This window comes from Homo sapiens, chromosome 1 (genome assembly GCF_000001405.40).
Source record: "Homo sapiens chromosome 1, GRCh38.p14 Primary Assembly".
In the NCBI taxonomy this organism is placed as follows: Eukaryota; Metazoa; Chordata; class Mammalia; order Primates; family Hominidae; genus Homo; species Homo sapiens.
Window position 1 is genome coordinate 12,600,070 of NC_000001.11, and position 21,185 is coordinate 12,621,254.

The 21,185-nt window shown below is 50.9% G+C and overlaps 1 protein-coding gene across 4 annotated transcripts in view, besides 7 other annotated features; it reads right to left on the reverse strand.

Annotated features, from left to right (window-relative positions):
- The window catches only part of DHRS3 (dehydrogenase/reductase 3), a 50,301-nt gene extending 32,160 nt beyond the window's left edge, over window positions 1-18,141 (reverse strand). For 2 of the 4 annotated variants that reach the window (XM_006711036.3, NM_004753.7), the window contains exon 1: window positions 17,085-18,141. In XM_006711036.3, the coding sequence (XP_006711099.1) occupies window positions 17,085-17,279 (195 nt within the window). In that variant the 5' untranslated portion in view covers window positions 17,280-18,141. Of the gene's footprint in view, window positions 1-291; window positions 16,721-17,084 lie in introns of those variants that run through there. The other 2 variants (NM_001319225.2, XM_047434406.1) reach the window with 2 other exon arrangements.
- Window positions 2,969-3,154: a silencer, noted in NCBI's record as "fragment chr1:12663043-12663228 (GRCh37/hg19 assembly coordinates)". NCBI's record gives its function as "represses an EF-1alpha promoter that drives an FKBP-Casp9 reporter gene in an ReSE screen in phorbol 12-myristate 13-acetate-treated (for megakaryocytic differentiation) K562 erythroleukemia cells {active_cell/tissue: K562(+PMA)}" and the evidence as "EXISTENCE:reporter gene assay evidence [ECO:0000049][PMID:32094911]".
- Window positions 4,335-4,629: an enhancer, noted in NCBI's record as "tiled region #11784; K562 Activating DNase unmatched - State 5:Enh". NCBI's record gives its function as "activates a minimal TATA promoter and a strong SV40 promoter by Sharpr-MPRA in K562 cells {active_cell/tissue: K562}" and the evidence as "EXISTENCE:reporter gene assay evidence [ECO:0000049][PMID:27701403]".
- Window positions 4,335-4,629: a silencer, noted in NCBI's record as "tiled region #11784; HepG2 Repressive DNase matched - State 25:Art". NCBI's record gives its function as "represses a minimal TATA promoter and a strong SV40 promoter by Sharpr-MPRA in HepG2 cells {active_cell/tissue: HepG2}" and the evidence as "EXISTENCE:reporter gene assay evidence [ECO:0000049][PMID:27701403]".
- Window positions 17,766-18,397: an enhancer, noted in NCBI's record as "H3K27ac hESC enhancer chr1:12677840-12678472 (GRCh37/hg19 assembly coordinates)". NCBI's record gives its function as "activates a minimal SCP1, AML or CMV promoter by ChIP-STARR-seq in naive H9 embryonic stem cells {active_cell/tissue: H9 hESC(naive)}" and the evidence as "EXISTENCE:reporter gene assay evidence [ECO:0000049][PMID:30033119]".
- Window positions 18,398-19,029: an enhancer, noted in NCBI's record as "H3K27ac-H3K4me1 hESC enhancer chr1:12678473-12679104 (GRCh37/hg19 assembly coordinates)". NCBI's record gives its function as "activates a minimal SCP1, AML or CMV promoter by ChIP-STARR-seq in naive H9 embryonic stem cells {active_cell/tissue: H9 hESC(naive)}" and the evidence as "EXISTENCE:reporter gene assay evidence [ECO:0000049][PMID:30033119]".
- Window positions 19,030-19,661: an enhancer, noted in NCBI's record as "H3K27ac-H3K4me1 hESC enhancer chr1:12679105-12679736 (GRCh37/hg19 assembly coordinates)". NCBI's record gives its function as "activates a minimal SCP1, AML or CMV promoter by ChIP-STARR-seq in naive H9 embryonic stem cells {active_cell/tissue: H9 hESC(naive)}" and the evidence as "EXISTENCE:reporter gene assay evidence [ECO:0000049][PMID:30033119]".
- Window positions 19,897-20,148: a silencer, noted in NCBI's record as "fragment chr1:12679972-12680223 (GRCh37/hg19 assembly coordinates)". NCBI's record gives its function as "represses an EF-1alpha promoter that drives an FKBP-Casp9 reporter gene in an ReSE screen in HepG2 liver carcinoma cells {active_cell/tissue: HepG2}" and the evidence as "EXISTENCE:reporter gene assay evidence [ECO:0000049][PMID:32094911]".

The window sequence follows — 21,185 nt, forward strand, 5'->3', positions numbered from 1 at the left end:
AACTTGCTCAAGGTCACACGGCAAGTGAATAGAAGAGCCAGCATATGAACTTTGGTGTGGTTGACTCCTGAACTCAAAATCTGAATCTCTATGCTTTACTGGCTCCTTGTGAAAGAAAGAACCGCACATCTGTGTGTGTGTGTGTGTACACGTACACACACACACACACAATCACACAAACATTTCCACTGACTTGAAGGCTCAGGAGATATCCCCAAAGCCAAGGCATGGATCTGCTGGCTGAGGAGGTGTGAGCCCTCGGAGGGCACCATGTGCCCAGTCCACACTGACCTTGTGTCTTGCCATCCCTTAAGGACCCCGTCTCCTCTGCTGTGTGCTCATAGGGAAGTGGCCCGGAGAGGCCAGGTCAGACTCTTAATTCTTTGGCATCTGAGATGTAAGAACACGGGCCGTGCAGCCAAGGGTGGACAGACGCCATGTGGGTGTGTCTGGCAGGACTGCCTGCCTGCATGAAGGTCACGCTGCCCTTTACAGTCACACTGGCCCCAGCTCCCCATGGTGACCTGCTACCAGGCCTGTGAGAGGGGCCACTGCTTGCTGGGCTGTGGGAGCACTAAAAGGAAGACCCCCCTCACCAACCACCTTGGAAGGACCCAATATCATCTCTGTTCTGCTCCCCTGCCCGCAGCTGGAGGGGAGGGAGAGCTGGCCTCTCGCACCTGTGAAGTATCACTAGCAACCATGACCTAGCAAAGGGCTTCCTTTCCTCTCATATCACAGTCTATCTCTCTATCTATCGTCTAGAAAAGTTTCCAAAGTCAGTCTGTTGACAACCTGCTGGACTTTGGTGGCTGAGCATTTTGCCTCTTTGAACTACAATCTCCTTGAAGGCAGAGATTTTAGTTCAACCCTGAAAAGTCCATTCTATCTTTTTTTTCTTGGGGAGATGGGTGGGGGGTTGGGGGGCGCGGTGGTAAGGCATCAGTAAATGACCTGATAAGGTCTGCAGGATTAGCTCTGGAGGGCTGCCTGATACAGGCAGGCCTGGCTCTCCTGGCTGTTTCCACGTGGCATGACTGGAAGATGAGTGTTGTCCTTCCACAAGAAGGTGTACTGGACCCCTTGCTCCTGCTCATTGTATCCCCCCATCTGCCCTGCAGAAGCCGACCTCCCGACTCCCAAACCCTATGGCTTGGCTGGGGCTGGTATACCCCTGGCTCAGAGTCTGGCCATGACCCACAGCTGGCCAAATAGAGCACCATTTCCTTGGTTCAGGCTCACCCAGTCACTGCCAGAGAGACCCAATTCCTGGACCCTTCCAGGACTTCTGGGCAAAGAACACCTGTCTGTCTACTTGAATGGGAGCTGGAAAGGTTACGTTACGAGCAGCAGGGGGCAGGTGTGAGCAGCCCCGTGGCAGAGAGGTCTGCCTCAAAGTGAGGGGAGAGAGAAACTCTCCTGAGTCCTGACAGCACTGAGCCCCTGGAGACATGCCCAAAGTCAGCCCTACCCAGGGACTTCTGGTCCCATGAGTCAATAAACCAATCTGAGGAACACCTCCAGAGCCCCCATCGGGAAAGCTGGAGGTGATGTTGTTTGACCCATATAGACTGCCTGGCTACGGACTCCACTAGGGGCCATCAATGCCATCTCTTCCGTGAAACTATCAACCAAAAGGCAAGACTCATTGGTTACAAGCAGACACCCTGGGTTCCAATCCTGCTGGGTCATTTACTAGCTGTGTGATTCTAAGTTACTGACTCTCAGAGTCCTGTTGGTAAGAAGAAGATGATAACGGTACCCACGCTGGAAGGTTACTTCGAGTAGTAAATGACCTTGTGACGTGTCAGGGCTTAGAACAGTCCCTGGCACACAGTAGGTGCTCAGTAATCACTGGCTCTAACTAGCTACAATGGGTCGGTCATGCATTCATTTAGGCAACAACCATTTATTAAGTATCTACTGTGGGCCAGATACTGTGCCAGTTGCCAGATACTTGGTGAGTGAGAGGGCATGCCCCCTGCCCCTGTGGATATCAACAAGCAGCCACAAAGCGTGGTGAGTTGCTATGGTAACCCCTGACTTTGGCCTCACCGCAGCCCGGTCCTGACCAATTGAGCTACTTGGACGCAGAGATCAAAATGACTAATGCCTTGTGCAGGGGAAGTTGGATGGTTGTGGGGGTTGGGCAGCCAGGACCAGAGAGGAGGCTGTACCCCTGACCAGCCTCAGCCCCTGGGTTGCAGAAAGGCCTATGTTGGACCAGCCCCTGCCTGGGAAGACAGGGGCTGTGCCACGGGTCATCTCAACAGAGGTGAGGCCTCGGGTGGAAGGGAGATGGCCAGACTCCCTGTAGGGAGTGGTTCCCTCCCACAGACTTCTAGAAAGGGTCAAAGTCTCCAATTCCCCCTGAGGGCTTCTGTGGCAGGGGCACAACTCTCTGCTTCCCGGGGGAGTCCCAGAACCAAGGTTGAGTCAGGCCAGTGGGTTTTTTGCCTTTTTTCTCTGATGTCCTGCTGAGCATCTGCTCTAATATGCAGAAGGAGAAGGGCTGGAGCAGGGGGTATCCACCGCCCCCCACCCCCAGGGCCATTGCCCCACCTGGAAGGAGTGGTTGTCTCTTGGAAACGCTCTTGCCATTACCCAGGAGGTGATAGGAGCTTTTTCACTACATTTCCACACCTTCATTTTTCAGATGAGGGAACCAAAGCCCAGAGAGGGTTGCTCGCCCAAGGTCACACAGCAGGTCACTGGGAGGCCCCTCATAATCTACAGCATTAGGCACTGGTTTCCAGCAGCCCTGGCCGGCACCACAAATTGCATGAGTGCTCTGGCCGGAGCCGGCCTCTACCGCCCAAAAGATTTTGGCTGCTGTGACACTGCCTTTGGGCCAGGTCTGGGCTTTGGGGCTGGGGTTGTCAAGGCACACTCTCCCAGGGATGGGTGCTTTGGAGGCAGGGAGGGCCAGGGAGAAGCCTCCTGTGTCCTTTCTGGCAGATGGATTTGGGCTGAGTCCCCCTTGGAGAGGCTGTCTCAGCCCCGCTTGGGCATTCAGAGCTTCTAGCTTGTGGGCACCCCAGAGGTAGAGGAGGTGCCGAGGCTGAGGGCAGGAGGGGTTCCACACATCTGGGGTGGGAGTGTGGGTCCCTCTCCTGAGGGGCAAAAGCCCAAGCGAACTAGAGGGCATTTGGTCCAGAAGCCACAGCACCTTGGAGTAAAGAGCCAAAGGTGGAGGTGTCATTAAAGAGGGGACATCCAGCAAATCCAAGAAGGGTCCATCGAGGAGAGGGAGCGGGCTGAGTCATTTCCTTGAAGCATCATTTTCAAGCCTTATTTTTTTCCTTTCTTTAAAACAATGACTTTCTTTCAAAATGCACACCAAAATCTTAACATGGAATTGTAAGCCACAAAACAGAAGTGACAACACTGATCTGGTCCGCAGGAAGGAGGGGTCCCTCAGAACCCTCCCTGCTCCATCTCCCACGTGGCCCTACCTTCTTGGGGCCTCTAGGGTGCTCCGGAACCCAGTTTGAAAACCTGGACCTTGAACCTCAGCTGGCGCTGAGGTCCGCATGGGGACCGCGGGGCTTGGAGGCTGGTAGAAGTGGTTGGGGGAGGTGGGACGCAGACAGGAGACCGTGTTCCCTAGGAGGCTGTTTCAGTGTGGACAAGATCATCATACGCTTCACTCATCAAAATCCCCGAAAGGCTGCTGAAAAGAGGATTTAAGGCCACATTCCTTGAAGTAGGGATGGCCAATGAGGTAAGAAAGGCTGGGGCCCAGTGGCCTTCACCAGGCTGACCATTGGTGGCCTTAAGCACCAAGCCACACATCTGTACTCTCCACCCTGAGCTTGCCCTGGCTTCAGTGTCACAGGATACCAGGGCGTTCCCTGCCTCTCACACGAGCTCTCGCCCTGAGCCTGCATCTGAGCCTGTAGGACTTGGATGGGTTTTGATTGTATCTAGTCCAAGCCTTCTTAACCCAGAGTCTGGGATAGGCGACAGGGGTACATGACCCCTTAAAAGTACAAAACTTTCAGTTGCACCTTCTTCCTGGGATAGAGTTCATATTTTCTTCAGACCCTTGAAGGGCTCTACAACCAGCAGAAAAATGGAGAGTTCCTGCAACCCCCTCAGTTGCCACCTCCTTCGAGAAGTCTTCTAAGATTTCCCTTAATTTACAGTGATCAAAGCTCTCAGGCCACGCAGAGCTCAGTGACCTCGGGCTTAACTGGAGGGAGCTGTCACTCACTCTCTCCTCTGCAGCTGGGTCTCTGCATGTTAAGATGTCACACTGGTTGTCAAATGAAAGAAATTCAACTGTGCTATTACCCTGCTTGTCAGTTTACTCTTTAAAAGAAACCCTGATAACTGAGGACTATTTTATTCCTTTGGCAAGTCTCCCATTCATTGTATGCAAATACTGCTACTCAGTGCTCTAAATGATGTTTGTGTAAAAGCGGATTTCACTACATCCCTGCCCGCATCCTGTTGACTCATTCACTGCTTATCACCGCTCTCTCCAGAACCCTCTGTGTACTAAGCCCCATTACTTAACAGCTTGTCTCTTGACCTCTCCATGACCCTGAATGAGGCAGGCCAGGCCAGGCTGAGATTATTTGTTGCAGTGGGAAAAGATGGAGTGTTGAAGCTGGGAAACCTGGGTTCAGAATCTGCCCTCAGCGACGTGTCCCAGGACGGCCACTTCACCTGGATCTCAGAAATGCGTGCTGCTGGCCGGGTGCGGTGGCTCACGCCTGTAATCCCCGCACTTTGGGAGGCTGAGGCGGGTGGATCACAAGGTCAAGAGATCGAGACCATCCTGGCCAACATGGTGAAACCCCATCTATATTAAAAATACAAAAATTAGCTGGGGTGGCGCATGCCTGTAATCCCAGCTACTTGGGAGGCTGAGGCAGGAGAATTACTTGAACCTGGGAGGCGGAGGCAGGAGAATCGTTTGAACCCGGGAGGAGGTGGAGGTTGCAATGAACCGAGATCGTGCCACTGCACTCCAGCCTGCGCGACTGGCAAAACTCCATCTCAAAAAAAAAAAAAAAAAAAGGTCAAGGAAGACAATGAATGTGCAAAAGCACTGTGCAGTCATGTAGAGTACCAAGTCACGTGTGTTACCATCGTCACACACATTGTCACAGTCATGTACAGTGCCACAGCCATGTATATTACCATGGTCATGTACAGTATAGGTCTTGTATATTACCACGGTTATGTACAGTATCAATCTTGTATATTACCATGGTCATGTACAGTATCATTCTTGCATATTAATATGGTCTTGTAGAGTATCCATCTTGTATATTACCAAGGTCATATACAGTATCTATCTTGTATATTACCATAGTCATGTACAATACCATGTCCTGTACAGTACCATAGTCATTAATAGCACCCTGTATATTAATAGTGCCATGTATATTCCCATGTATATTAACAGTACCATGTATAGTAATAGTGCCATGTATATTCCTACATTCATGCTTTTACCACAATCATGTACAAAGGGTCTTCAAAAAGTTCAAGGAAAATGCGTATTACGAAAAAACTAGGCATATATTTGAGATTTTTTTTGCCCCAAAATAACTAACTTGTTATAACATGACTAAATGGGATCTAGTTTGAGGCACTAAGAAGGATAAGACATCAGTTTGAAAAGAACTCCTATCAGAGCAACATAAATTCTCCTAAAACTGAAGCAAGAACAAACATCAAATTTACAGTGAAGCTTGCTTAGATGGAAGAACGGTGAAATCACTGATACTTTATGAAAAGTTTATGGGGACAATGCCCTAAAGAAATCAGCAGTTGGCTAGGTGCGGTGCCTCACACCTGTAATCCCAGCACTTTGGGAGGCCGAGGCAGGCGGATCACAAGGTCAAGAGACTGAGATCATCCTGGCCAACATGGTGAAATCCCGTCTCTACTAAAAATACAAAAATTAGCCAGCATGGTGACGTGCGCCTGTAGTCCCAGCTACTTGGGAGGCTGAGGCAGGAGAATTGCTTGAACCCAGGAGGCGGAGGTTGCAGTGAGCTGAGATCATGTCACTGCACTCCAGCCTGGCGACAGAGTGAGACTCTGTCTCAAAAAAAAAAAAAAAAAAATAGAAATCAGCAGTAGTTAATAAATGGATAACTTGTTAAGAAGGGATGAGATGATGTTGAAGATAAAGCCTGAAGTGCCAGACCATCCACATCAAATTAGAAAGAAAAAATTCATCTTGTTTGTGCTCTAACTGAAGAGGACTGACAATTAACAGCAAAAAAAAAAAAAAAAAAGCCAATACCATAGACATCTCCATTGGTTCAGCATACACAATTCTGACTGAAAAATTAAAGTTGAACAAACTTTCCACTTGATGGGCACCAAAACCACTGCATCCAGATCAGGTGCAGATGAGAGCAAAGCTTTCAATGAAAATTTTATTTTATTTTATTTTATTTATTTATTTTTTTGAGACCGAGTTTCACTCTTGTTGTCCAGGCTGGAGTGCAATGACGTGATCTTGGCTCACGGCAACCTCCGCCTCCCGGGTTCAAGCGATTCTCCTGCCTCAGCCTCCCGAGTAGCTGAGATTACAGGCATGTGCCACCATGCCAAGCTAATTTTTTTTTTTTGTATTTTTAGTAGAGATGGGGTTTCTCCATGTTGGTCAGGCTGGTCTTGAACTCCCGACCAGGTGATCCGCCCGCCTCAGCCTCCCAAAGTGCTGGGATTACAGGTGTGAGCCACCGTGCCCAGCTGCTTTCAACAAAAATTTTAAACAAGTGGGATCAAGATCTTGAAGCATTTCTTCAAAGAACTGTAAGAGAGGATGAAGCATTAACCACTACAATCCTGAAGACAAAGCACAATCAAAGCAATGGCTACCAAGAGGTGGACATGGCCCAGTCAAAGCAAAAGCAGACCGACCAAGAGCAAAGGTCATGGCAATAGTTTTTTTGGGATGTTCAAGGCATTTTGCTTGTTAAGTTTCTGGAGGGACAAGAACAATAATATCTGCTTATAATGAGAGTGTTTTGAGAAAGTTAGCCAAAACTTTAACAGAAAAACACCCAGGAAAGCCTCACCAGATGGTCCTGCTCCACTAAGACAAGGTTCGCATTCATTCCTCTCATCAAACAAGGACAATTTTGTGAGGGTTTTGATGGGAAATCATTAGGCATCCACTTTACAGTCCTGATTTGGCTGTTTCTAACTTCCTTTTGTTTCTTAATCTTAAAAAATCTTTAAAGGGTGATACAGTTAAGCATTGTGTCCCCACCCAAATCTCATCTTGAATTATAATCCCCATAATCCCCATCTGCCAAGGGAGAGATGAGGTGGCCGTAATTGGATCATGGGAGTAGTTTCCTCTATGCTGTTCTCATGATAGTGAGGGAGCTCTCACGTGATCTGATGGTTTTATAAGTGTTCGGTAGTTCCTTCTAAGTTCATTCTCCTTCCTGCTGCCTTGTGAAGAAGGTGCCTTGCTTCCCCTTCTCCTTCTGCCATGATGGTAAGTTTCCTGAGGCCTCCTCAGCCATGTGTAACTGTGAGTCAATTAAACTTCTTTCCTTTATAAATTACTCAGTCTCTAATATTTCTCTATAGCAATGTGAGAAAGGACTAAGACAAAGGGCATCCATTTCTCTTCAGCTAATGATGTAAAAAAAAAGACTGTATTGACATGGCTGAACTCTCAGGACCCTCAGTTATTTAGGGATGGACTAGATGGCTGGTATCATCGCTTACAAAAGTGTCTTGTAACTTGATGAAGTTTATGTTGAGAAATAAAATATATATATTTGTGTATATGTGTGTGTGTGTATGTGTGTGTGTGTGTATATATGGAGAGAGGGAGAAAGACGCAGTCTTGCTCTGTTGCCCAGGCTGAAGTGCAGTGGTGCGATCTCCACTCACTGCAAACTCCACCTCCCAGGTTCAAGTGATTCTCCTGCCTCAGTCTCCCGAGTAGCTGGGATCCCAGGCATGCACCACCATGCCAGATAATTTTTGTATTTTTAGTAGAGATGGGGTCTCATCCCGTTGGACAGGCTGGTCTCGAACTCCTGACGTCAAGTGATCTGCCCGCCTCGGCCTCCCACAGTGCTGGGAATACAGGAGTGAGCCACTGTGCCTGGCCTATATTTTTTATTTTCATCCTTTAATTCCATTTTCCACCACCTTTTTGAAGTCCCCTTGTATATTACCACAGTCACGTATATTACCAATCGTGTATGGTACCACAGACATGTAGAGTACCACGGTCATGAATATTACTAGGAACGCAAGGAAGCCATCAGCATCCAGTTCAGAAGCCACAGGAATCTAAGCCTGAGTGAAGGATGTGAGTCTGTGCCCACCCTGCACCCTCTTGCCTCCTCCCTGCTCCCCAGCACCCTGGAAAGCCTGGACAAAGGAATGACATCACTGCTGGAGGATCCTGCTGAAGTCATGCTGAGAAGGGCTGCCTTCTTTTAATTTTCAAGTGTTGGTTGATCGATGCTGGTGTCCTCTTTTCCTCCTGCCCCCTGCCCCTGCCCCTGCCTGTGTCATTGCCCTCACTGACTTCATGACAATGACTCACAGAATCAAAGGGTAGAAGGGACCTAGGAGGTTGTCCAGAACCTAACCTCCCCCAGTGCAGAAATCTCGACACCATGTTTGCTTAAAGAGCAACCTGTTCCAAAGGGCAGGAAGGTGTTCCTCTTGCAGGGCCCAGGTCTGCATTTTCGAGCCCTCCCCACGGGCCTAGCATGGGCCTCCAGAACCATCTAGAACAGGTCCCATGCCTCTGTGGTACTGGAATGCAGCTGATACCCTCTCTTGCCTCTTAAGCAGTCAACTATACTCCCATGGATTTGCCACCCAACCTAAGTCATGGCTTCTAGCCCTTGTCACCCAGCCTGCTCCCTGGATACCTTCCAGTTGGTCAAGGGCCCTGTCAAAGTGCTGGCCCACATGGACACAATACCCCAGAAGTCGTTTGACAAAGTAGGACTGAAAAGCATCTCCTTCATTCTAAGCACCAGCACAATTATCTGATTTTATTCAGAGGGGTTAAGCACTACTGCCATTAGAAGCCTGCTTGTTGGTGCCAACTCATCCTTCCACAGTGTTAGGAGATTTTTCAGTCTGGGGATGGTGGTCACTCCAAGAACACTAAGTGTCACAAGGAGAGAACCTTGTTTATGAGGTTCCCTGCCGCATCTCCAAGGCCTAGTTTGCTGAATCAATGAACAGAGCCAACATAGTCACGATTCCTCAGAGCCGTGTCACCCTGAAGCTGGTTGTCACTTCCTCACCTAAGTTACCAGCAAGAAAGATCAGGATCTGGCTGGGAGCAGGGCTGCCCAGCAGAGCCCTGAGGGCTGGGTGCCAGCTGCCTCCCACCCCCTCCAACAGTGGCACCCCGGACTGCCTAGATTCTCCATTACCCTCAGCCCAGACACTTCCATCTTGACAGTAAAAGATATCAGAGGAGGCCCTCAGCATCCTCCAAAACTCTAGTGCAATGCTGACAGCATTCCCTGAGCTCTGGGAAGCTCTCAAAGAAGGTGGCGAAGCAAGTCTGGGTGATATTTTTGGAGGAGGCATGGAAACCTGGCGGCCTCCTAGCAGGTCCCCCACCCCTGGCCTGACACCTCCACCACCTGCCTGTCACAGCAGCCAGGGGATCCTGCTAAGGCTTGGGTGAGGGCATGATGCTTGAGTCGTGGGGCCAGCTAGGTCTACCTGTCCTACATGGGAACCTGTCTCCCTCAGTTCTTCCTCCCCACTCACTCACTGCTTCAGCCACACTGGCCACCTCTTGGTCCTCAGACACTCCACTCTCTCCTCAGAGCCCTTGCCCTGTCCTCTTCCTGGAATGCTACTGCTCCCTTCCCACCATGCCCTCGCCTCCTTCAGGTCTTTCCTCGTGTCTCCTTCTCAGTGTGGCCTTCCTTATACCCTACCTAGAATCTCAGGCCCTCGCATTCCCATCCTTCTTGCCTCATTGGTTTTCTCCTCATTGCTTATAATGACAATTCAATGTTCTGTTTTATTTATTTATTTATTTTTTGAGACAGAGTCTCCCACTGTTGCTCAGGCTGGAGTGCAGTGGCATGATCTCTGCTCACTGCAACCTCCGCCTCCCAGGTTCAAGCAATTCTCGTGCCTCAGACTCCCAAGTAGCTGGGATTATAAGTGCGCTCTACCATGCCCAGCAATTTTTTTTTTTTTTTTGTATTATTAGTAGAGAAGGAGGGTTTCACCATGTTGGGTCAAGCTGGTCTTGAACTCCTGACCTCAAGTGTTCCGCCTGCCTTAGCCTCCTAAAGTGCTGGGATTACAGGCATGAGAATGTACTGTTCTACTGATCTTGCTTTTTATCTGTCTCTCTTACTAAAATGCCAGCTCTCACTACATGGGTGGGGATTTTCATCTGCTTTGCTCCCTGCATGCCTTCAGTGCCCAGAACAGTGCCTGGCATATAGTAGGTGCTCAGTAAATGTGCTGAATGTATGAATAAGTGAATAAATGAATGAGTTCCCACCAACCATTCATTCATTTGCTAACCCGGCACTTTCTTGTTGAGAATCTAGGCATGTGCTCATTTTCAGATTCTAAGATCTCACTCATTTCAGGGGTGCCACAGCAATGAGCACACATTTGGGCATGCTAGTGTCTAAATAGACTCACTTTTCTCATTTCCAATGGGCTTCAATGGTTTCGTAATCCTCGTGGTTCATCTGAATAATATGTTTGAAATGTTTCAAGTATCTTATGGACTTATATTTTTGGATTGTGTCTCCTGAAGACAACGGTGAGCACAGCCTTATAAAATTCTGGGTGTGTTCATGCTTTTGTCCAAGGATAAGGGAGAACGTGTAGGGTGTGGGACCCATCCCGCACTGATGCTCAAAACTGTGGTAGGATATCGCTGGTAGTGGCAGGTTAAGACAAGGGCTTTTGTTACAGCGATTGTGACAACCAGATACACTTCCTGGTTAGAAAGGACACCTCATAAATACAGCCGAGATCACTTTCTCAAGGCAGACGGCCTCGGCAAATACCAAGATGGAAATGAACCAGAGAAAGTAACTGCAAAGATACAGAGATCAGAAGGGCTTGGAAGGGATCTGTGCAGCCATAAACAAGTGCGCTTCATCTGAAAAGATGGAAGCTCAGAAGAGCTTGAAGTCGAAATGAGAATTAGCAGAAGGGCTGGGTGCACTGAAAATGAACTTGACTCAGAGTCAGTATTGCTAGATGGAGGAGGCATTCCTGAAAGCCCAAATAGAAAAGTTGGTGAATTTAGAAGAAAAAAACCAGGAAATTTTGTTTGACATGCTAGTCAGGGAATTTGGGTCCCTTATTCCTTTAGAAGCGACAGTTTGGAAATACTAACGTCTTCTGCAAGAGCTGAAATAAATCCATGGCAGACAGCTACCTGTTGAGGGAGTTTTGAATGGGTGTGGGGCTCTGCGGAGCTGGGGCACAGCACATCTTCCAACTCTGAGTTGCTTCTTTTTCATTTGGTGGCATCTGATGACTAGCAAAGGCTGAGATCAGTGATGGGGACAAATGCTTTCTTCACCTGGAAGTCTCCTGCTTGCAATTCAGGGAAGCCTGGCAATCCGTTGCTTTCTTGGGTTGACTGATGTGTAAGACGAGAATTTTTGAGCGTGCCGGGATCTTAGGGATCATTGTAACCCCTCTCATTTTATAGGTGTGCTTCTCAGCTGCAACCTGGAGAAGGTAGTAACTTTTCCAGGGTCAAGAACCCAGTCTTGGCTGGGTGTGGAAGCTCATACCTGTAATCCCAGCACTTTGGAAGGTCAAGAAGGAAGGATTGCTTGAGCCCAAGAGTTCGAGACTAACCTAAGCAACATAGGGAGACTCCCGTCTCTATTTTTAAAATAAATAAATAAATAAATAAATAAAAGCTCAGTCTCTGGCCTCCTGCACAAGTGAGCAAGACTGCAGGGGGGCGTGGTCCCAGAGGTAGACACCTTTGTTCCCCCAAGGGAAGGGCCTGGGGGAGTAAGAAGGAGATGTTTGTTTATTCATGAGACAGGCTCATTTGTAAGGTCAGTTGTGACCGATGCTCTAAGCAGAAACACTTCCAGATGTCACAGGTAGGACAGGTAGCCTACCTGCCTGCTTTCAGGCTGCACAGAGTGAGGATGGGAGAGATGGGCCACTGCTCTCTCCCTGTAAATTGGTTAGTGCAGCTGTTTTGGCCTGATGACTCTAGGGACCCACAGATGACCTGTCTGGACCCTTCTCTTCTCTTTCTCTTTTTTTCTATTCTCACCAGTACTGACCTGACTCAGAGTCTGAGGTGTAAACTCCCTGCTTACCTCCCTATCCCACAATACAATGTTTTCTTGCTTCCCTTTCCTCTTCCCTCCCGCAATTCCAGCCAGGTAGAGCTTTTGATCAGGTGGTTTCTTGTACCTAGATTTCCCTTGTCACACCCCTTCTGGTTGAAACACTTGACCTTCTTCAAGGCTCAGTCGAATGCTCCTTCCTTCATGAAACCTTTCATGAGCACCTGCTATAAATTAACTGCTCCTCTGTGCTTCCACTGTGTAGCATCTCCCAAACTTCACGCCCATCCAGAACTTCAGAATGTCACCTCATTTGGAAAGAGAGTTTTTGGAGCTATAACTAGTTAAGGATCTTGAGATGCAATCACATTGGATTTAGTGTGTGCCCTGAATCCAATAACTAGTGTCCTTATAAGAAGATGATGGGGGTGGGCACGGTGGCTCACACCTGTAATCCGAGCACTTCGGGAGGCTGAGGCAGGTGGATCACCTGAGGTTGGGAGTTCGAGACCAGCCTGACCAACATGGAGAAACCCCATCTCTACTAAAAATACAAAATGAGTTGGGCATGGTGGCACGCACGCCTGTAATCCCAGCTACTCGGAAGGCTGAGACAGGAGAATCGCTTGAATCTGGGAGGCGGAGGTTGCAGTGAGCCAAGATCACGCCATTGCACTCCAGCCTGGGCAATAAGAGCAAAACTCTGTTTCAAAAAAAAAAAAAGGAGATGACGGGACGTAGACACACACAGCAAGGAAGGCCATGGGATGATGAAAGGAGAGACTGGAGCCATGCTTCCATAAGCCAAGGAGCATCAGGAGCCACCAGGAGCTGGAAGAGATGACGAAGGATCTTCCCGTAGTCTTTTGAGTGGAGAGGAACCCAGAACCCTGCTGATGCCTTGATTTCAGACTTCTGGCCTCCAGAACCACAAGAGAATACATTTTGTTGTAGTAAGCCGTCAAGTTTGTCCTAATTGGTCATGGTAACCACAGGAAGCACATACAGATGGTGACTTGTGCCTTCACTGTAAGCACCTGGCCACACTCTAGGTCTTTATTCATCTTTGCTACATTTTCTTACAGGCCCAGAGCTGTGCCAAACACCGAACAGATACCCCAGGTAGGTTTGCTAAGCTAGGTCTCTCAGAGATGGTGTCAAGGGACTTATAAGCTTGGGCTGGCCCCAGGGCTAGGGATGGGAAGGACACAGGACTTGCTGAATGGAAGTGCTGGAGAATGGGGTTCATAAATCTACTCACAGTGCTAGTTCCTGGCTGGGTGCTGTAGGAACAGGGCTATCTACCCACATGCTGTAAATTCACTGACAGCAAGACAGAACTCCAAGCCAGTTCCCATACTACCTTCCTGAAATACCTCCCCTCAGACTACCTCTCGGAAGTGGGAATTGAGTTTTTTTGTTTGTTTGTTTGTTTTTGAGACAGAGTTTTGCTCTGTCGCCCAGGCTGGAGTGCAATGGCGTGATCTAGGCTCACTGCAACCTCTACCTCCTGGGTTCAAGCACTTCTCCTGCCTCAGCCTCCCGAGTAGCTGGGATTACGGGCGCTTACCACCAGGCCTGGATAATTTTTTGTATTTTTAGTCGAGATGGGGAGTCACCATGTTGGCCAGGCTGGTCTCGAACTCCTGACCTCAAGTGATCCGCCTGCCTCAGCCTCCCAAAGTGCTGGGATTACAGGCATGAGCCACTGCTCCCAGCCAAGGTCCTGGAGTTCCTGACGTGGTATTAGGCCCACGTATGTTGCCCCACCTCCCAAGGTTTGCAATCATGGCCCAAGACTTTCGTCCAGCCACTTGCTGGATACCAGACCAAAGGCGGGGATGGTCCCTACAAATACTTCTAAATGAACGGTCCACTTCTCCTCTCAGGGGCTCCTGCTAACACCATGTCAAACTCAAAGACTGGAGCCGGGGCTGACCACTAGCCAGAAGTTAGTTCCCTTGGAGGGAAGGGGAATAAGTTTAAGGTTTGTGAATGCTTTTGTGGAAGGAATTCTAGGAGGGCAAAGAAAATTAAAAAGCAAGACCTTTACGCCTAGAAACCCTAACCATGACTGGCCCTGCCTCAGTTTGCCACAGTGCACTGTGGGTAAGGAGAGATGTGTCCGGAGCTTTCAAATTCTTACAGCCTTAGTGTGCCTTTAAAAAAAAAAAAACCCTCGCTTATTTGGGCCACCTTTGCACCCTAAGGCTCACCACCACCCACAAATATTGCCAAATCCTATTTAACTCAAGGTCATTATGGGAAACTGGGTTGTCAACTCTCTCCCTCCTTCCCAAATAAACAGATAACTCCTGGACACGTCAGCTCTTTGCAGAGACTCTGGTACACTTTTTTTTTTTTTTTTTTTTTGCTTTTTGGGGTCTTCCCCCTCCCAGATCCAGTCCCACCAGAATCTAGGCTGGGAAGCTCTCAGATGCAGCCACCAGAATCTAGGCTGGGAAGCTCTCAGATGCAGCCTCCACTTCCATCAAGAGGAGAAGGGATGTCATCTGTGGTTCCACACAGCCGCCCCCTGTCTAGTATCACTGCAGGCTGCGGGTGGCACTGGACCTCTCTGGTCTAGTACTCTTGGGCCACCCCCAAGCCCACTGTTCACACCTGTCCCCAACCCATAATTTCCCCACTCCCTCGACACTTGACCCTTTGTTCCCAACCCCACTAGGCCTCAAAACACTCCTGGCTCTGGGGGTTTGTCCCAAAGTCCTCTCATTGGTGTTAGGCAAGAAGCCACAATTCCAAACTCCCCACCATGACAGCAAACAGAAGCCTCATTATAAAGTAGCTCCAGAAGCCTCATTATAAAGTAGCTCCAGAAGCCTCATTATAAAGTAGCTCCAGTAATTGGTCAGATAATGGCGAGTTACAGGGAGCACTGCTGGTCATCCTGACAAGTCAGATGACTGAACCGAGCATGAATGGCACTCGAAGTTTCACAGGCCCCCATGGATCCTGTTTTTGTTTTTGGTGACCCTGACACCAATTTAAGACACATTTCTAATTGGCCCTGGCTGGATTCCCTGGAAGAGGACGTCCAGTCCAAGTTAGGTGGGGTTTGGTTCCCGGTGCGTGAACTTGCAGGCTCCACTCTGTACTATCACACCCACCCCCCAATGCCATACACTTCTTTCAATTTAGGATTGTTTATAGTCAGTCGAGTTTTTCCAGATTGACTAAGAGTTCCTCATCTGCCTACTGTAGTCAGCTACAAGAACAGTAAAAGAGACCCAGGACTTGGGCCAGCTGGAAGACTCAGAAAAAAGTTTCTGTGGGATGCAGACAGCTAAAGAATGACAATCACATGCAATTGTCCCAAACCCCACGTCCGCCCCAAAGGACACCCTCATCTGCCCTTTTCAGTCCCCTTCACAAAGAGCTTCAGGAGCCCTTTTATGGGGCATCGCCTCAAGGAAATGAAACTGCTGAGAACAACTCTGACTTCCCCTTATTCGTTGTGTCCAAGGGTTAAAAACGCTTCCCAACTCCCCCTCCAAATGCAAGGTCAAGCGGCTGTCCAAACCACCCAAGGAGAAGAGGGAGTCCTGGACAGCCAGACCCCTGCTAGCTTGGCCACCACAGGCTCCGGCCAGCCCGGCTAGGGAAGAGTTAATCGGATCGGCTTTGGCTGATAGTTCAGGCTCCAAAGTTCAGTCCCAGTCAGAGCCACCCCGGAGGAATTGTAAATCTCAGGGCAGTATTTAACAAAACAAAAGCAACCTGGAATTACATGCAGGTTTGGTTTTCTACAGTACATATTTACTTAATCCCCAAGGTATGCGGCTCCATGTCAGATCAGCTGGCTTTGCGGCCCTTTCACCCCCCTAGTTCACAACAGTTTAAGTTTCAAACTAATTCCCTGTTTTCGCTCTTCCTCTTCACAGGGCTGGCTGGAGACAGCCTGGCCTGCCTCCCTCTCCTGATGGCTCTGGTCACCGCGTGAGTCAGCCTGGCCTGGGCTGGGAGTTGGGTGACAGCCTGCCCACTCTCCCCACTCTGGCACCAGGTCTCCAAAACCTGGAGCAAGGGGTGCCAGGACCACCAAAAAGTTAAAGGCCGTGTTTGGTGGGCAGGACCCTCCTTGCAGCACCACCTTCCAGCTAAATGGGGAGGGATCCCTGGGGGGTGTACTGGGGGGGAGGGGACAGGGTTGAAGGTGAGAACAAGGGCTCTTTATCAGTAGCTGCTTACCCTGGCCTCCTCTTTCCTGCTTTCCAAACACCTGGGCCTCTCAGTGTCGGTCCGGCCAGACTACTGCATACAAGACCGCTCTTCCCTTTTCAAACCCAAACCAAGTACCCTCTCTCGTGTCTTCAGAGCTGCAGCCGCCCAGGTTGGGGCTGGGTAGCGGGTTGCCAAGGAAAATACGAGGCGCCAGCTAGCAGGCGGCTCCCAGCTCTACCCAGGAGTGCGCACACCCTGCACTCACCAGGGTGGCGGCAAGAAAAAGGGGGGAAGGCGGGGGAGGGGGGCACAACACCTTCCTTTGGGAGGCAGGAATGTGGGAAATGGTGGGTCTCTTAGGTTTCAGGGTGGGGGTGAATAGCCAGTCAGCCAGCCACCGATCCCAAAGGAGCGGATCAACTCTGAACCTGCCAAAAAAGACAGTCCGGTGCCCGGGAAATTTACAAGGTGAAACCGACTAGCTCAGCACTCGTGGGTGGCGCGGAGAAGTGGGGTGGCCGGCGACTCTCAGCTCCCGGGCGCGGGATCCCGCAGCGGCAGCAGGTGGGCTTACCCCCGCCCCTGCGGCCCCCCACTCCCTGGAGTCGCAGTGCCTGGTACCTTTCTGGCGCCGCGCTCCGCGAACTCGCGGGCGAGCTGACGCCCGATGCCTCTCCCGCCGCCGGTGATGAGGACGTTCTCCCGCGACAGGTCCCGCAGCTTGGCGGGCAGCACCAGTCCGACGGCTGCTTTCACCACCAGATAGATCATCTGTAGAGGGAACATCACCAGCGCGCCCAGCCGTTTCCACACCATCCTCCGCGCCGCGGAGCCGGGCAGGGGGCGAAACTCCCCGGGCCGAGCAATACAGGAATTAAAAAACACCCCGAACAATAAATAGTAAACCGAATAAGGAGGAGAGAGGCGTCCCACCTGGCCACTCTTGAAATCACCTCTTCCCAAATGCAAAGCACCGGGTGAGAAAAAGAAAAAAAAAAAAAAAAAAAAGATAAATTCTCCTCTGGGGGAGAAAAAGCGTCTCCTAAGGTTGGGACGGTAAAAGAGGTGGAGGGGGAAGCCGGAGGTGGAAAGTTCTAACAAGAAGTTTCTTGCCCCAGCAGCCGTTTCGGCTGGGGAATTCTCAGGTAATGTTTACAGACTGACAGAGGAGTTTAGGGAGGGGAAGAAAAAAAAAAAAAGGCACCAACCACACGCGCGCACCCTGCCTCGGTCCCGCGGTTTCAAAGTGCAAGATTAAAAAAAAAAAAAAAAAAAAAAAAAAAGCTGATTCCAAATTGTAGCGCCCCCACCCCCACCCCGTCTCCAGAAAAAAAAAAAAAAAAAAAGTGGGGGGAAAAAGTGCTTGGAGCTCCCAATTTCAGCCCGCGAAAGTCTCCCGACTCATTGCTATTCTTGGGCTCAGGAAATTGCTTAAACGCGATCTGATTGCCAGCAACGTGCAGGAGAAGTGGGGGGTCCGGGTGTCAGTTTCTTTACGTGCAGCGCTCGCCCTCGCGCGCGCTCGCTCGCTCCGGCTCCCTCCCTCCCTCTCTGTTCCAGCAGAGGCTGGGAGTTGCCGCTCGATCCAGCTCCCCTTCTCTCCCTTTTTAGCATTTATTGCCTTCTTTTTGTCCTTTCCAACTTGGAGAGGGTCCGGGTGTGGAGCGCGCGTGGATCGGACGCCTTGGTCTGCGCGGCCCTATTCATTCGCTCCCCGGGCAGCCGCGTCGCGGAGAGGGCGGCCCCTTTTTCCCCCATTTTTTCAATACCCCATTAAGTCTGATTGACAGTTAAAGTTGTTGGGAGGCTTCACTACCGTTCCTCTGAGTGGCTGCTGCGGCCTCCCCTCCCCCTGCGCCGTCGCGGGGAGCGCGCATAAGGCGCGCACTCGGGCTCGCCGGGACTCGCGCTCTCCCGGGACTGGCTCCCCTCTCTGCAAGCCGGGACTTGCCGCCGGTGTCCCTGAGGGCTCGCAGCTGTAACTCGAACACGCTGGAACCGACTCCGGCGAGCCGGCTGCCTTCTCGAGACGTTCCTCCTTGCCCGGGCCGCCCGCGGGCCAGGTGATCACCCCGAGTGTGGAGCAGGCCCGGGGGAGCTTGCGTATGCCTTGATCCAACCAGGTCACCCAGGGTTTTATTTCAGGTCATTTGGTCATCCTCGGCCTCCAGGTAGGATCAGGAAGCCACTCCTCACCTTTGCCCGGACCTCTTCTGTGTTCACGTAGAGTGGACTTTTAAAAGCCTGACCCAAGTGCCTCACGATGCTTAGGGGGAAGCCGCTGGGGAGCAGGACTTTGCTTTGAGGGGAGGGAGTAGTCAAGGTAAAGGAACCTCTGCTCCGAGTGCCAATAAAATCCCCACAAGATTAGCTGGGAGCATATTTATTGCTCATCTGAGCTAGAATTACCTTGACTGACACCAATTTCCTTAATAACAAAAGCCTGTAAACAAAACGTCCTATTCGTGCGCCCCTGTGCTGTGCAGCCAGCGTCTCCTGTCCTTGGGTCTCCCTGGACTGCCCTGGCGGGGCACCCACCTTCTAACCTCCTGCCCTTCCCGACCGGAATGTCTCCCCTGCTGGAGGGTGGGACCGAGCTATTTAGAGTTGTCTGTTGCAGGAAGTCTGGGAGGTGAGTCACTAAAAAGCAGCCCCAGTTCAAAGTGCTGATGGGACTTGCCTCCCGCCCCCCTGCACGTTCCCGGGGCCGGAGGAGCGAGAGCGAAGCAGGGAGCTGCCCTGTAATCTGGGGCAGCCGTTTCCAGCCCGCGACTTGTTCAGACGGCGATTCCTGGGCCTCACCCCCAGAGATTCTGATTCAGCAGGGCTGGGTGCGCTGGGATCGGTACTTTCAATGCTCCGCCTGGTGAGAAAGTCACTTCGAAAAACGCTGATCTGCGGGGAGGGGAGGCTGGGATTACCTCGTCACCTGCAAAGACCTAGTTCTGGGGAGAGGTTCTGCAGGGGAGGATCTTCCTTCTGGGTGAAAAGCCACTGGAAGAGCAAAAGGCAGGAGAGGCTTAGGATGAGCAACTGTCCTGCACTGAGGGCCTATATTCTGACACAGTCCTTCCCCTGACCTTGCAATCGGGGGACTGTTATCCCATCGTCCAGGTTACCCAGCCAGGAAGTGCAGGAGGGGGGATCCCAATCCAAACCTCTTCCCACTCTGACCAGACGGGAGGAGAGAAGTGGAGGATGGGGTTCAGCTAAGGGTTGCAGAGCAGAGACCCCCCCACCCCCCTAACGCCCCCAAGAGTCTGACCGAAGGGCGGACCAATGTCTCCATCAGACCCCAGGGCCGGAATCCATTGTGGTGACGGCCTCCTCTCATCTTCGAGGTCTGTAAAAATGGGAAAGCGATTCCAGCCTGGGAGTGACAGGCCTTTCCCACCCAGCAGCGGCTGGTGTCCGCCAGGCCTGCGAAGAAGCCTGGAAAGATCTGAAGACAGAACCAGGCTGCAAAAGCGGGCTTTGCTCATCTGTTGTCCTCGGAGCCGCCTGGTGGCCCAGATAGGATACTGCGCCTCCGAGCTGCCCGGCCTCCAACCCAGCGGCGTTCCTGCTAACTAGCCATGCTTTTCTTCCAGGCATTTCTCTCATGTAAGGTTAACACCCCAAGTCTAAAAGGGCTTGTGAAGATCATAGTCCTCCTCCCCCACCCCAAACACACTTTTATGGCTGGGGAAACTAAAGCCAAAAGATATGAAGCAACTCATATACAGAGATGCATTTTCACCCCGGTCAGATGCCAGACCGGCTGGGTAACCGTTAGGTCCCTCTTACATCTCTCTGGTTGTGTGCCTGGGATGGAGGGCAGACGGTGGGAAGGAGGTCGGGAACCCAAATTGGCCTTTAGTGCCTCAGGGCCTTTACACAGTTTCTGATTGAATTTCCTTAACAGCCCAGGGAGGCTCGTGCCCATTTATTGCAGGAGGAAACAGGCTCAGTAAATCTAAGTAACTTGTGCAATGCCACGCAACCTGCTTCTCAAAAGGTTTGGGATGAAATCAGAGGGAAAAAGAACATGTCAGACATTCCCCAAAGGAACTGACAGTTCCAGAAGCTGGCCTGAGGTGGATGGTGGCCTTTTTTTCTACTTGGTCCATCTTTCAGGATGTGGTTTTTGTGGGACTGGCAGCTCTGCAAGCCACACGTTTCTCCCAGCATCAACTGCTCAGAGAGAAACTTGTCACCTCCTCTGTTGCCCTCCCCCGAGGTCCCTGGGAAGATGGGGCCAAGGAGACCTTGTGTGGGGGTGATGTGTGTGTGCACAGTTCAGCAGGCTGGCCCTGAGGGTCGTGTGGCCTGGCTTCAGTGAGAACAGCAGGGACACGTCCTCTCTGCCTTTCCCTCCCTCCCCCAGCCTTTATCCTTTGCTCTTGTACCCTCTCCTGGAATTTAACTCAGGGCAGAGTTTGAAATTTCACATCCCAGGTCTGTCCCTGAAAATGTGAAAGGAGGCTTTCTGGGCTTGAAGGGAAGAGGCGAGCTGCAGTTGGGAGAACTAACTTTTTCCGTGGCTCAGCTCCCCCGGTGCAGCGAGGATCCACACTCACCCTGTGGTTCCTGGACCAGAAGCCTGTTAGAAATGCAGAATCCAGGCCGGGTGCGGTGGCTCATGCCTGTAATTCCAGCACTTTGGGAGGCCGAGGTAGGCGGATCACCTGAGGCCAGGAGTTTGAGACCAGCCTGGGCAACATGGGGAAACCCAGTTTCTAT